Source organism: Homo sapiens, chromosome 9 (genome assembly GCF_000001405.40).
Source record: "Homo sapiens chromosome 9, GRCh38.p14 Primary Assembly".
Taxonomy (NCBI): Eukaryota; Metazoa; Chordata; class Mammalia; order Primates; family Hominidae; genus Homo; species Homo sapiens.
The window spans coordinates 23,757,808-23,772,663 of NC_000009.12; the positions used below are offsets into that span (position 1 = coordinate 23,757,808).

General features: G+C 36.3%; 1 protein-coding gene across 58 annotated transcripts in view; it reads right to left on the bottom strand.

Annotated features, from left to right (window-relative positions):
- ELAVL2 (ELAV like RNA binding protein 2) overlaps positions 1-14,856 on the bottom strand; it is a 160,498-nt gene that overhangs the window by 67,704 nt on the left and 77,938 nt on the right. For 24 of the 58 annotated variants that reach the window (XM_047422916.1, NM_001385694.1, NM_001351466.2 and 21 more), the window contains one exon: positions 4,199-4,442. In XM_047422916.1, coding sequence (XP_047278872.1) covers positions 4,199-4,442 — 244 coding nt within the window. Of the gene's footprint in view, positions 1-4,198; positions 4,443-7,201; positions 7,293-14,856 lie in introns of those variants that run through there. The other 34 variants (NM_001385695.1, NM_001351456.2, XM_011517779.4 and 31 more) reach the window with 3 other exon arrangements.

Sequence of the window (14,856 nt, forward strand, 5' to 3'; positions counted from 1 at the left end):
GACATTTCTTAATGTACTTCCCTAATCCTCACTCGATCAAAATAGTGACATTAATTTGCTAACACTGACACAGTCTAAAAGTTATACACTCTCTTCAAGGACTTAAGAAGCACACACTTTCCTAACTAGATATTTTTGTTCCTTAGATATAGTTTCCTGATTCAGCATTAAGAAAGATTTAAGAAAAGGGAAAAGGAAAGATTTCAAATCTTCCTGTAGAGTGACTCCAGAGTTTTCCTGTAACCCAATTAACGCACATGCTCCTACAAAATCGGAATACAGAAATGGGTCCCAACTGCTTCCCAGGAGGTAGAATAAGCTGGATAATTAGAGAAGGACCAAAGAACTCTGGTCTGTCCCTAAAATACGTACTGAGAAACTGCACAAGACGGGTAATGCTACACACCACAGGACAGGGTCCAAAGCTCCACAAATTCTTTCAAAACCTTGCTAGAGATACATTAGTACTACCTCTTACGAAGTATGCCTACTTTTCAAAGTACAACCACTCAGAACCCAGATTTAGATACTACCATTTTCTAGACTATTTTACTCAATAGAAGTATTCAGTAAGAAACTCAGAAAAAAAAATATCCTAAAGCAGTTTATGCTTAAGTTAAATGAGTGAGATCCTTCTAAAAGCCATTTTAACCCATATTACAAATATGTCAGTGGTCCAAATCAAACCAAGATTACCAGAAGTTGAGATGCCTAGTGTTCAGATTTACCTACTCCACTTTTGAATTTATTATCATATATGTTTCTTTTAGGAATCATGCTCATATGTTATTGATGTGAACAGGTTAAACTGGTCTGATAACCAGTTAACAACAAATGATTTCAAAAGCTTTTATAGCACCATGTTCAGTGTAATCTACTGTCAGGGAGAGATACTCACTCTTCCCACAGTCCCCAAATAGGCTCTATGATCAAATAAGGCCGGGGAACTATAATTCAAACAGGTTTTCTTTACTGCTGGATTTTTCATAGTTCTTAATACAGTGATTATCGAGTATGGATCTTAAATAAAGAACTACAGAGTGCAGCACTTCCTAAACTTGTCTGTCAATATAATACTTATGTTAAGAAATAATTACTAGTATCTCACCAAATGAAGGTTGAAAAACATCTTTCAATCTTATACACACTATCGTGGGAAGGCAAATTAATACACCAAATACACTATGAAAAATGGTATGAAAGTTCCTCAAAAAATTAAAAACAGAACTACCGTATGATCCAGCATCCCCACTACTGCATGTTAACCCAAAAGAAATGAAATCAATTTGTCAAAAGGGATGCACGCATATCCATATTTATTGCAGCAATGTTTACAACAGCCAAAATATGGACTCAACCCAAATGTCCATCAACCAATAAATGGATAAAGAAAATATGCTATATATACAAAATGAAATACCATTCAGCCACAAAAAAGAATGAAATTCTGTCATTTCCAGAAACATGGGTCAACTTAGAGGACACTATGTTAAGTGAGGTGAGACAGCCAAATACCACACGATCTCATAGGTAGAATCGAAAAATGCTGATCTCATTGGAGGCGAGAGCAGAATAGTGGGTACCAGAGGGTGGAGAAGAGAGGAGGAAGGAAGGAGGGGGCCAGATGGTTAATGAGTACAGGGTCACTGTTAAAAGAAATAAGTTCTGGTGTGCTATTCCACAGAAGGGTGACTATGGTTAGCAATATTGTATAGTATACTTCCAAATAGCTAGAAGAGAGGATTTTGAACACTCTCAAAGAAATTATGAATGTTTGAGATTTGGAAATGCTATAATACCCTGCTTGATCATTACACAATGTATATAGCATCAAAACATCTCACTGTACTCCACAAATTTGTTCAATTATGTGTTAACTATATACAAATATATACTATATATAGTAGTGTACACGTAATATATATGTGTATACATCATATATAGTATTATATATATATATATATATATATATATATATATATAATGTATAGAAACGTCTTACATCTTTAGAAACATCTTTCAATACTCATGACCATTGTGGAATTTCTTGGGGACTCTACTTGCTTACCAAATATTTTTAATAGAAATTTTACCACAGTGGAAATCTCCATTACATCCTTCCCCTCAAGCCACTGAAAAGACAACAGGCAGGGGTCAGAGGTGAAGGAAATGGATGAGAAATATTTACACAGTTTTTTAGTATCTAGGTATGTATTAAAGAATACCCATGTGTTGTGCTTCTATTACCACCGTCTACCACACTAAAGTTAGAGAGGCAAAGGAGGTGAAGATAAAGAACTCAAATTTATCCCATTTTGCCACATAACAGCTCTAAAGATTCACAAAAGAGTAAGATTAATTCAAGATTGACTAGAGGTGAGACGTGAGGATCTGTAAGATGTCTCCTGTGGCAGATGCCTAATATGAAAGATGTATGATTTGTCTAATATTTTCATCTTATAAAATGATAAAATGTATCATTTCGTAACAGTTTCATAACAAAACATGACTTTTGTGCTCTGTTCATGCATCTTTCTTTTTAATAGTAAGGGGAGCTCTACTAAGCAATCAGAAATTGCATCATTTGTGTCATAGCCCTCAAGTCATTTATCATATTTTTATCTTTTATATTAAAAAGGTTGCAAAATCCACATGTCAGGGGTGTTGTTTTACTTTAAAAACAAAAGATAACATGTTTAAAACATGTTAAAAAGATGTTTAAAAACATCACGACAGAGACGTAAGAGCAGCCTTTTGTTCTTCACCTTTTTCAACTTATTAAAAACACTATAAATTTCACATATGCTTATCACACTCATTTTGGAAAAGAAATTGAAAAATCTCATCCATCTGATTATCAGTGTTCAGAAACATAAGAACCACCTTCCTAATATCATAGTGAACATTTAAGCAACATAATTAAAATATAATGGCCGTTTGCTATGGATCAATGACAATCAGTTTGTACTTAGCTTTTTAACTTGATTTCAGTAAGTTGTCTCTGTGAATCTCAATCTGTAGCTTGAGGAAATATGATTATGAGCCAAGTCCAGGGGCTGGCTCTAGAACTCACTTGCAGATCTTGGAGAGAATGAGCCCTAACGATTAACGGAATAGCTCAAAGTCCCATGTATGAAAAAGTCAAAAGTGAACTTAGAAATGGCCCAGTGTTACCCCCTTTTTCTCTGCCTTTTACCTTATTTTGCCAATGGAAACCAGAAGTCTAGGGCTGACTTATCCAATGTCACATGACTAGGTGAGAGTTCAGACTCCTGGTCTCATTCTTCACACTGCCTTTAAGTATCTTTTACTCATTTCAAATATTCCATTTTATATTTTTGGTTATAAGCTTTGTAAAGCAATTTGGTATACACTATCAATCAAATTTAATTAACATGAAAAGTCCACAGAGTCTGTCTACCTTCGTATATTTTTAGTGTTTAACTTCATATGTATGTCTAACTTCATGTATTTTTAGTGTTTGAAAACAACTCCTGCAGGAAGCATTAACCCTTCTATCCCAAGAACGTGCTCTTTAAATTAGGTTTTGGTTTACTCTAAAAATTTAGTCAAATCTTAAAAAATACTAAGGAGATTTTCACCTAATATTCAAAATGTACTATAATTAAGGCTTTATCTTTATAACAAGAAGGACAATCATATACCATGTCCTTTCCTTGTTAAGGAACGGAACATAAGATCTCATCACGCTTGGTATTATATCAGTGAAAATGTTTATACACTGACAATGTGAACATTACCATTTATTTTATCATATATAAGCAAAATGATTATATTAACATAAGGAAAACACATTTTAAGATTTTTTCCCCTCTCCCAAACACATATTGTATCTCACTGTTGAAATGCTAACTTAAATACACTCAGGGTACTAAAAGATAAAAGTTAACATGACACTGGCTATCCCAGATACATATACTTTTAGAAGATTTTCCAAAGATCCTGTCCAGATCAGAGTACATTAAAGTCCAGTTAAAATATATACTGCCCCCAAAATAGTTTATGATTTAAAAAGAAAATTTTAAACTAAGTTTCATATTGCTGATGTAATAACAGAGAGAAAATCTAGATATGTAAAATTGCAGCAGTGAATTATTTACAAGCAGTAATCTTATTATTTTCTCCTATCTTGAGACACGATCCGTTAAATATAAATCATCTACATAAAACTGCTTACCTGTTATTTTGTCTCTTACAAGCTTACAGGACTCTATTTCACCAATGCTCCCAAAGAGACTCTTTAGTTCCTCCTGTGTCATGTTCTGAGGAAGGTAGTTGACTATTAAGTTGGTCTTGCTGTCTTCTGTGTTCCCAGAGTCAACTGGTGACGAACAGTTGTTGTTTATGGTGGTTGGACCATTGGCTGTGTTATTGCAAGTTGGCCCATTAGACAGTTGTGTTTCCATGGCAGCAATTACCTGCTAAAAACAGAGAAAACAAGAAATGTCAGAATTCATATTTCACAACCTATTAGAGACTCCATCCAAGAATTTAAACACTTGTCACTAAACACAAGTCGTTCTAATGAAATTACAACAATGCTTCAACAAAAAGTGTAATACCTACACTAATTTTCACTTCATATTAACCTATTCATCTTAAGGTTACAACTATATTTTCACATACATATTCCATACATGCATATAAGCACAATTTAAATCTTAAACATTTTCTAGAATCACATTCTGGGTCTATTCACATATCCTTACTCACCTGCAGTGTCCACAGATGAGAAAATCAAGTACCAAAGGGCACAGAATTGAACCCTAACTAAAAATCATACTAGAAAATAAAAGTGCTTAACATGCTACAAAAATGAACAAAAAAATGACCTACCTAACTCTGAAGAGATTTTCAGTTATCCTAAGAGGTTCAATATTCTAAAACTGACAGATAGCCATTAACTTAAAAATCAAAGAGCAAGAGTACTTTTAAAAATATAAATTTGTCAACATGTACTGTTTTGGTTACATATTGAAAACGTTTTTGATGGACAATATCTTATCTCTACCATTGGTAAGAAAAAAACAGATGCTATATTTTAGGGAGTGGAAAGGAACTAACTGTAAGGTAACTTGGGAATGAGCTATGAATACTTTGTCTAACTGGTAGAATCTAATAGGACACTCCTGTCAACCTTGGCAGCTAAAAATTACCAACAAGGTGACTGATCTACAACATCAAAATAAAATCCCCAAACACTTCGATATGGTGTTTCTCCTTGACTCTGCTTTTTAATGAGAAAAAAGAAAACCTATCCAGTCAATGAAAACAACAATGTAAATATATCAACTTTTGCAAACAGACCAGCCCAAGGAATTCTCGTCTGAGCACATAAGCCTGTTGAAAATGCAAGTAATAGGGTATCTATAAACTCCAAACACCAGATAAAGAACAGAATTGGGGAAAATGGCCTCAAACTGTTCAGGCTACTCTACAAATCACTTATTAAGCAGTATTAAATCTAGTTTCCTAAAACCAATCCTATGCAAAAGAGTCACAAACCACAGCCCCAAATTTTCCAAAATCATTTTCCACTAACTACCTATCTTTGGACAGCCAAGACTGTGGTGGAATCTAAAAATCAACGCATCACTGAAAGGATTATCCTTCATATTGCATACATCTCTCACCTCCACAAAGAACTGCTTCTCAAAACTGACAATTCTGAATTGACGGGATGCTAGTTTTAGGGAAGCTTTAACATAGAAAAGGCAAAGAACTTGAGGCAAAGAAAAAAAGCAAAGTAAAGGGAAAGAGGGTTACAAGGAAAGAGAAAAAACTGTCTTTTAAAACACATATTGCCTAAGAAAAATAAAAGGGCACATTAGCAGATAAACATATAGGAAGAAATCTCTACTGCCAGGAGATGTTTACAAAAGAAGGCAGTGTTGGACATATTGAGACTGGTCAGACTGAACAAGAATCAGTGCTGTCATGATAAAAAAACATGAGGCAAAATCCAGAATAGCTTTTGAAATATCCAACAACCTGTAACCCCTCTGTGACTTCATTTCCTTGTCAAAGAAGTGGGAATTTATTCTACAAGCTGCAAGCTGTTTCTCTACGTAAGCTAAGTTTTCTCAGGGAATACTTAAAGGGATGAAGGAAAATAAACCTTTGGAAATCTGTATTTAAAAATCTTAAATAATTCAAGATATGGGTTTTATTATAATTAGCAAATCTATTTGAATTTGAAAAGGGAAGTTTCAGATTTCCTAATTAAACATAACTGTTCTGGTTTGTAGAATATTAGCTGTGGGTCACTCTTTTCACAGCAAAAATTCTTCTGGGGTTAACCCTTGCCCAGCAGTTATGGAAACAATGAGCTACAAGATTAAAGTGGCCAAAGACACTTAAATCACTACTGAAAAGTTTGGATGGGTGTAGAAACTACAAGAGACCCGAATGGGAGATTCGGACTAAAGCTCATTGGGATAGCATTTGAAATACAAAGTGTTCATTGACTGAAATCAGCAAGATTTAGAAAGGACAACAAACACTCCTCACTTAATTGCACATTTATTTCCATGTTCAGGTGGCAAGAATGAGCTCCTAAGCCAACATTCAAGTGAACAGCTGCAGTAGGCTGTGTGCGCTGAAAATTACAGCATCTCTCTGCTATAGGACCATCTGCTCAGAATAAAATGATACTAATGTGCTATATTTTACAAATAATGCATATTCCATTGATAGGCTCAACACAACTGTTCACAGAATGCAAACTCTTTCAACAGTTACTGGGCAAATAATTTTCAGCCAGATTTACAATTTCAACTTTTTTTTTGGAGCATAAAGAATTGTAAATAACTTCAAAATTTAGTAACCAAAAAAATACATAGTAAACAGAATGTATAGAATTACGGTAACTTAGTATTCAGACCATACCAAAACTTTTTTTGTTTTTTTAAAAAAGCTTGTCACTCTTTTGAGTCTGCGCTAAATCCTAATTTAGATTGTAAAAAAATTACATACGAGAGCATGGTTCTGATGCTACATACACCACTACAGTTAAAATTGCAATGTGCTTTAAGTCCTAATGATGGCCATACCACAATAGGTTAAATGTAAGAATAATTAGTATGCCAAATGAAAGATTCAAGTGTTTGGTATGGCCTCAGCACTCCTCCAACATGCTAAAAAAAAGTAGCCTACAGAATTTAAGAAAAATCCCACAGACCCCGGTCCAAGGCTCTGCTGCCCACGAACCACTTCTAAGCAGAGAAGCCACATCACACAGTCTGACTGCCATGTTAGTTTGGAGTTGCCGTCTGCAATATGGACACAAAAAGTACCGTATGTTAGATGAGCAAGATAATGCAACAAATCAGTTTGTACAAAATTTACAGTGATTGTATTGATATTCCCAGCACGTCCATGCAGTGTGGCTTAATTGAAATTGAGGCAATTCCAATCTAATCTTTCCAAATTCATTTCAACATGTAGTTTTCTTGCACAAATATAAGCATTTTTAATTAAGAGCCTGATTTTAAAACAGTATTAACTAGTTATCTTGGCATCTATTCTGAAGAACTAATGTAAACCACACCTCAAAAATTTAAAAAATAAAGTAAAATAAAGCAAAATACTGCAGGCTGTCTTATCTCTTAAGGATGTGGGAGAAGGGAGGAAATGTGAATGAAATTTTATAGTGGGAAAAAGTCATCATGCAATTCCTAAGTGATTGGTTTGCATAAAAGCACTCTTTCCCCAAAATATCAGAAAGACATTAAGAGAAGCTATATTTGCCCACACTGTTACATTATACTATAAATGATCCTTAATCCTGGGACTTAAAATTAAAAGTGAATCGAAACCCTGTGAGGTTATTTTGCCACTACAGTCAAACGGTTTCTAACAGTTTCAATGAGAATTGCTCACATATACTAAGAGGCAGTAAACCAGCATCTTTCAATTGAAATAATTGGACCGATAAATAGGATTGTTTGGAGTAATGCTCGCATAGGATGTCAGCTTTGTCCCTGAACGAAATCAAGTGAACATTTTTTAATATGTAAATTGTAAACCCAGCACGATTTGAAATTAGTGCTGCTATGAGGCCTCCAATATAGTTAATGGGCCATTTACCACTTATTGAAACTTGCCCAAATACCAAACAGAGCCATGATATTGGCACAAAAGCCAAAGTTTACTTTTTTTGCCATATATGCAGATGCTTCAAATGGTCAATATAATCAGAAAACTTAGTTTCTAAAAATAGACAGTGAATAACAGAAGAGGTCCAAAAATGTCTTTTACTTATTGATAATTATAAAAATTTTATCCTGAGAGGCAATCCTGGCTGTGATTTACTCTTGATATTAGCAATGCCGCCAGTAACGATGGATTCCACTTTCTGGCATCTATCAAAAAGGATTAACATACTTTTTTACAGGAAGCCATGAAAATATTTTACTCTTCTTCCGTTCTCCCACTGTAACAAGAGATTTTGGTCTGACCCTATGTTATTTTTCAAAAAACTACTTATAGTTTAACTGAACCTGTGAAAAAGTGCTTTACACCCATGAAAGATTTTTCATAAGAACCCAACTGTAGTTAAGACTACATGAGCAGGACCACACCCAGCAGGGTAAAGCAGGCATAAATGTATGTCCTGAATACCTTCAGGAGTTCAATCTAAACATTGCTCACTACATAAAACAGATTTTAATTTAACTGCCTCAGTCCCTTCTATTTCATAGGAGGTGGACACTAATGAGCTAATCTATTGACACCCCTCTTTCTGAAAGCCCCAGGGAGGTGAACAATCACTTTATTGCACCAACTAGATAGGAAGGCTGTGTATGGAAAATGATTCTACTGCACTTTTACATTTCAAGCACCCCAGACAGTCTTCTCCGCTTGAGGCAGACACATACCTTTATGGGAAGTTATAAATAAGTTGCTCACATGGCCCTTACCTTTATGCTGGCCAACAATTCAGTTACTAAAAATGTAAAGCTACTTCCCCTTCACTTAAGGACAGGCAATTCTGCTCTACTCAATCTACCACAGACAACTGGGCTGTGTACTATTTATAGATTCCACTGGCTCTGAAACTCTTCGGAAAGAAAAAAAAGGCCATATTCCAGTGAAACAGAGCCATTAATTTTAAGGCTTAAAAAAATAATGTTTCAATATATATTCTCCTCTTAATTTAGACATCACTTGTGCCAATTCAGACTGCTTTTCCTCCTGTTATTATCCAAGTAATAATTTACGAAAAGGCACTTTAGCATAGATGAATCTAGAATATTCTAAACTTTCACTGGGCTCCAAGGTAAAATGGCTGTTACTATGGTGAAAGCGTAGGTTTTATTGGGAAATAGAAGATTGTCTCTACTTTTATACACACAGGTACTTCCAAAAAGCCATAAAGACTTCTAAACTTTTTATTTAAATAATCCTTTATGAATTTTAACATCTACTGTTTTCACAATAGTGGAATTTAGAAAATAAATGCTTTATATCTCATATCTGGGAAGAGTTAAGAATTTGAGAAGTCAAACTGATCCAATAGTTTCCTGGTCACATGAGAGAAAAGCAGTCTATATTTTCTAATCTTACAATTAAAAAATTCTGCAAACTAAGGTAATCAGCTTCTTCACTATTTTCAAACCTCTTGCAGACAGCCACTAAACCAGGTAGTTAATCAAAAGCATCTTAAATAGGCCAGACTCGGCGGCTCACGTCTGTAATCCCAGCACTTTGGGAGGCTGAGGTAGGTGGACCACTTGAGGTCAGAAGTTCAAGACCAGCCTGGGCAACATGGTGAAACCCCACCTCTACTAAAAATACAAAATATTAGCTGGGCGTGGTCTGTAGTCCCAGCTACTCAGGACGCTGAGGCAGGAGAATGGCTTGAACCCAGGAGGGGGAGGTTGCAGTCAGCAGAGATCACACCACTTCACTCCATCCTGGGTGACAGTGAGAGACTCTGTCTCCAAAATAAGTAAATAAATATATCCTAACTATATTCTGAGAGTTGTTATTAAGTTCACTCAGTATAATGTTGCGAGGAGGGAAAAAGGTTCCATAGCCTAGAAACCACCTGATTTAGGGACCAGACTTCTGCGGGTTAAAGTCATAGCAGGGCTGCTGAAAGGGCCAATACAATGACCCCTGGTGAGGCTGCGCCTGTTGCTCCAGCCACTCCATTGCCATGGTCAACATCCTGACCTGGGCTCTCATCTTCTTCAGGACCAGCAAATTAAAGCCTCCAAAAGGTCCCTCTCTCCTCATCCTAATCTACCTTAACAATGTTCCCAGGTAGACTTTCTAAACCCTCCCACAGCTCCCTGCTGCCTATCAAATGAAGTGTAAACTACTAGGTATCAACAGAAATCCTGTACAACTACTTTTATCAGCCCACTTATTCAAGCACCTTAAGATCTGAACTACTCCTTGTCCCTCAAACAGTCCAGTACCTTCACTCTTCTAGCTTTGTTTATGCAGTCCCATCTCCCTTATTCAAGGCTCCATCCAAACCCACCCCATCTCCATTTCAGGGGTTTGTACAAACTAAGCATTGAAAAAGCAAAGGGCAAGAACAGTTTCTTAAAAATTGGAGACTGAAAGAGCAAATCCCTCCCTAAATGTGTACAAACTAGGTAACTTTTTTTTTTTTTTTTACTTTTTACAAATACATTTAAACTATAAATTGGAAACACAAATAATCATGAGTGGCTCTAACTTGTTTTTCTATCCCACCAAGTATTTCAAACCAGAAGTAATTATGAAAGCATATTTTCAAGTTTTGACGCACTCCATCAGCCACCCTCACCCACTGAAATCTAAATTCCTATTATATGGTAAAAGGAAACCATCTACCTTTGTGAAAAGTTGTGTATTTTTATTTCAACAATCTATCACACTAACTACAAAACCCTGGAAGACAAGACAAATCCAAGCCTCTGGCCAGCAGGGTTATGGATATGGGCATGTGGAATTTGGGTCCAACTTCAGGAAAATGGCAAAATCAAAGGTAAATGCAGGAAAATTAAACAGATCTTGAAGAAGGCATTTAGAAGCACATCATGATTAAGTCGTGGATCACCAGTGATCTTCATACTAACTAGAAAAGTTTAGGCAAACAGAAACGATAACATCTCTTAAAAGAATCATGGCTAGAGGCAAAGACAAGCTTATCTCTCAGGCTGGAAAGGTCCAGCCTAAACAGAGTGAACTTGGTCTCTACACTTATTTGCAACTAGAAGCTTTGAATACCCTGAGTATTCAAACACAGCACACCAGGACAGAATCAGCCCAGTACAAAGGCCTTCCTTCTGACCACATCAAACCTCTCCCTAAATGCCAAGTTACAGATGAACAGAAGACATTTGTCTCTAAAGTTTTAGAGCCAAACATACAAAACACAAACAAACAAACAAAAAACAAAACCAGGCATCACAACCTTTACCACACCATCCTTTGGGGAACTTGCAGCAGGGACAAAAGCACTCCAAAATTGGTGAAATAAGTCATATGAGCTTATAGATGACAGCTGGGTAGGCAGTCAAAGGGATCATCTGCCCGACACACACCATTCCTATAGCAAATGCTTTATCTTTCCCATTCAAATCACTAAGTGGTATTTTCAGGATATGTTTGTGGTTTCACTTAATTAAGCAAGAGAATAGTCAACCAAGTGCTAAAATCACAAGGCTAACAATGTCAGTTACAGGAACAAGCCATTAGTTTGTTTTCTTTAACTCTCTTTGCTTTGTGATTCCTAAAATAAAGGTTTGTAGCTTTAAATGTCAAAGGATTTATTCAATCTAGAATCCTTGTCAATTCTCCAGCCCACCCACATACCATGTTAGCTGTCTCACTAGCTCTACGAATTCCTCAAACCCACATTTTCAGCCTTGGGGCTAACAACGGCCCAAGAACTTGCAGAGACAATGCACTGAACAGCTGCACGCGTCATAAGGAGAATGTTCTTTGGCAGCAAACACTAACGTTTTTCTGTCTCTTGGCCCTTTATGACTTCTACGGACAAAGTACACAGTCTCCTTCATGCCAGTCTTTCTGAGGTTTTGTAGTTTCAGAGCTGGCAGGTTCAAAAGCTTTGAGGTTAGAGAGGTAAGATAATGAGTTTAGGGTCCCAAGTCCTTCTCTTCAGTCTAAGTCCATTACAGGTATCCAGTTTGAGCAATGGGAAAGTAAAGATCTGGCGAAAAAGATCTGCTTAAGTTTCATGTTTTGTTCATTCATCCATTCAACGAACATCTCCATGCAGCTCCCACGAATTCAGGAGAGTCCTGAGGTACAGCAATGAAGAAGCATCTTGGAGTGCTGATTTGCTGTGGATGGTGTGTGCAGAACATATACAAGTATGAACACATAGAAGAAAACAGTACATCAGCAATAAGTAAGAGTGCTGTGGAATACATATAGAGAAGAATAAGGGGGGTTGAAAATGTGGAGATGAAGACGGGTAGTTTCCAGCATTAAACAAGCAGGCCTCAATGAAAAGGTGAGCTTTGAACCAAGGTTTGAAGGAGATATGGGCTGGCTGCTGTGATAGGAAGAAAAATCCCCTTCCCCTCAATGTCTACATCCTACTCCCAGAAGTGTGAATATGTTATGTTACATGACAAGGGGGAATTAAGATTGTAGAATTAAAGCTGCTAATCAGCTCACCTTGAGAAAGGGAGATTATCCTTGGTTACTGAGGTGGGCCTAAGGTAATTACAAGGTTCCTTATAAGTGAAAGAGGAAGGTGAGACTGTCAGGGTGATGAAGCATGAGAAGAAATCGAAAGGACATTGCTGGCTTTAAATGGGGCCACCAGCCAAGGAATATAAGCAGCCTCTAGGAGCTGCAAAAGGCAAGGAAACAATCTCTCATAAAGACTCTGGGAGGAATGCAGCCCTGCCAACACTTTAATCTTAGCCCACTGAGAACCACTTTGGACTTCTGATGTTCTTCGGAATTTTAAGACAATAAATCTTGTATTGTTTTAAGCCAGTAAATTTAAAGTAATTTGTTAGAGGTCTAACAGGAAGTAAAGACAGCCCCCATGGAGATATCTAGAAGAAAAGATTCTAGGCAGAGACCTGCCAGTGCAAAGCTTGTCTGCTGTGCAGAATGACAAGGAGATAACAGGGAGAGTAGGAGGAGATGAGTCTAAGAGGTAATGAGGCCGGAACACATAGGGCCTTGAAGGCCACCATAACAAAAAAGGAAACTATAAAAGGTTTTCAGCAAAAGAGTAGCATGTGGCTACTGTGAAAATAAATTGTGTGTGGGTGTGCAGGAAGACTCAGTGAGTTTGGAAACAGACCAGTCAAGAAGCAACTGCAGCAATTCAGGTGCAGGATGACAGTGACTCCCACCAGGGTGAAGTTGGGGAGAAGTCATCAGATTCTGGATATACCCAGAAGAAAACACATTATTAAGGTGCTACATTTTAATTACATCAGTACACTGTTGAAATCCATTGTCAAAAAACTGGTTTAGATACTAACTGCTCACATTCCTACAAACCACCAAAACATTTACTATGCTCTGGACACTAAGAACACAAGATGAATAAGCAAAGGAAGAGATTTTATGGACAGTTGTGCCTTAAAAGAAAATAAGGATATATATATAAATCTATATATAGATATATATAGGAAACCCAACATACAAAAATTTTGACTTTATAAATATTAAATCCAGAGTTATTCACTTTATGGTTGGATATTCACTATTCACTTTATATTTGCTACTAAATGAATCCACTGCCAGCTTCTTAAAGAATCAACTGATTCATTTAGGAGCAAATATAAAATCACAAATCAGTAGCTTAAAACATGCAACTACTACTAAACATAGTATATCAGAAAATTGATTTGTAATCTATGTGAGCCCCCTTAAAACTTTCAGAATTCAAAGTAAAATAGCTCAAAGCTCTCCCCAAAAGTTTAAAAACAAAGTGGATGAAGATTAGATTAAGTCACATTTTGTAAAATGGGAGTAAACTTTAAAATCTGTATTTTTCAACAGGGTCATTTATATACCTCTACAATAGTAAAGGTTAAGCCATGAGATAACTCTGTCTTGGTTATAGGCTGGAATACACTAAATCATTACCTTCTGGTGATGAATCATTCCAACCCCATTCTTTCATTCCAACCTAAGTGGACCCAATTAATTTCCATGCCATTATTTGGCAATAGAATCTAAAAAGGGATATGAGTACAACAAGAATAAAATCAACTACTCCCTCAGTTTTGTGGCAGAGGTTTTGTTTGGTATAGGCAGATTAATCTGAATTGCTAAATTAAGACAGTTAACATAGTAATCAACACAGAAATTGGATTAACTTCACATTCTTCTACAAAAGTCACAGCTATCAGGAACCCCCTCAGGGTAGTACAAATTGTGAAAGGCTGATTGGAAATCCTCAAATTAATCCCAGTAGTTGAGTGTTTTCATTAGGTAGGTTAAAAACATAGCTCCTCTGTTGGATACAGACACTAAAATACTCTGTCATGTACAAACTCCAAAGCAGAAAGAATGACTAATCTTAAAGGGAAAATAAAAGACAAGGAAGGTTTATGGACAAAAATAATGTTTTTTAACTCACAAATGTTATAAAGGCCACAACACTCCTCCTGGCCAGTGAGGTTAACATTTTATTTTTCACTGTTATTTAGCAGGACTTAGAGATAGAAAACCAAATGCTACACTGTTTAACCTCAAGCAGCTTACACCAAAAAAAAAAAAAAAAAAAAAAAGGCATCTAAAATGTCAACCAACAAGATTTATTTCCTTAGTAACATTAGGAGGCTACAAATAAAGGGATGCCATCCCAGGGCACATAAATATCTTAGAATTCATTGA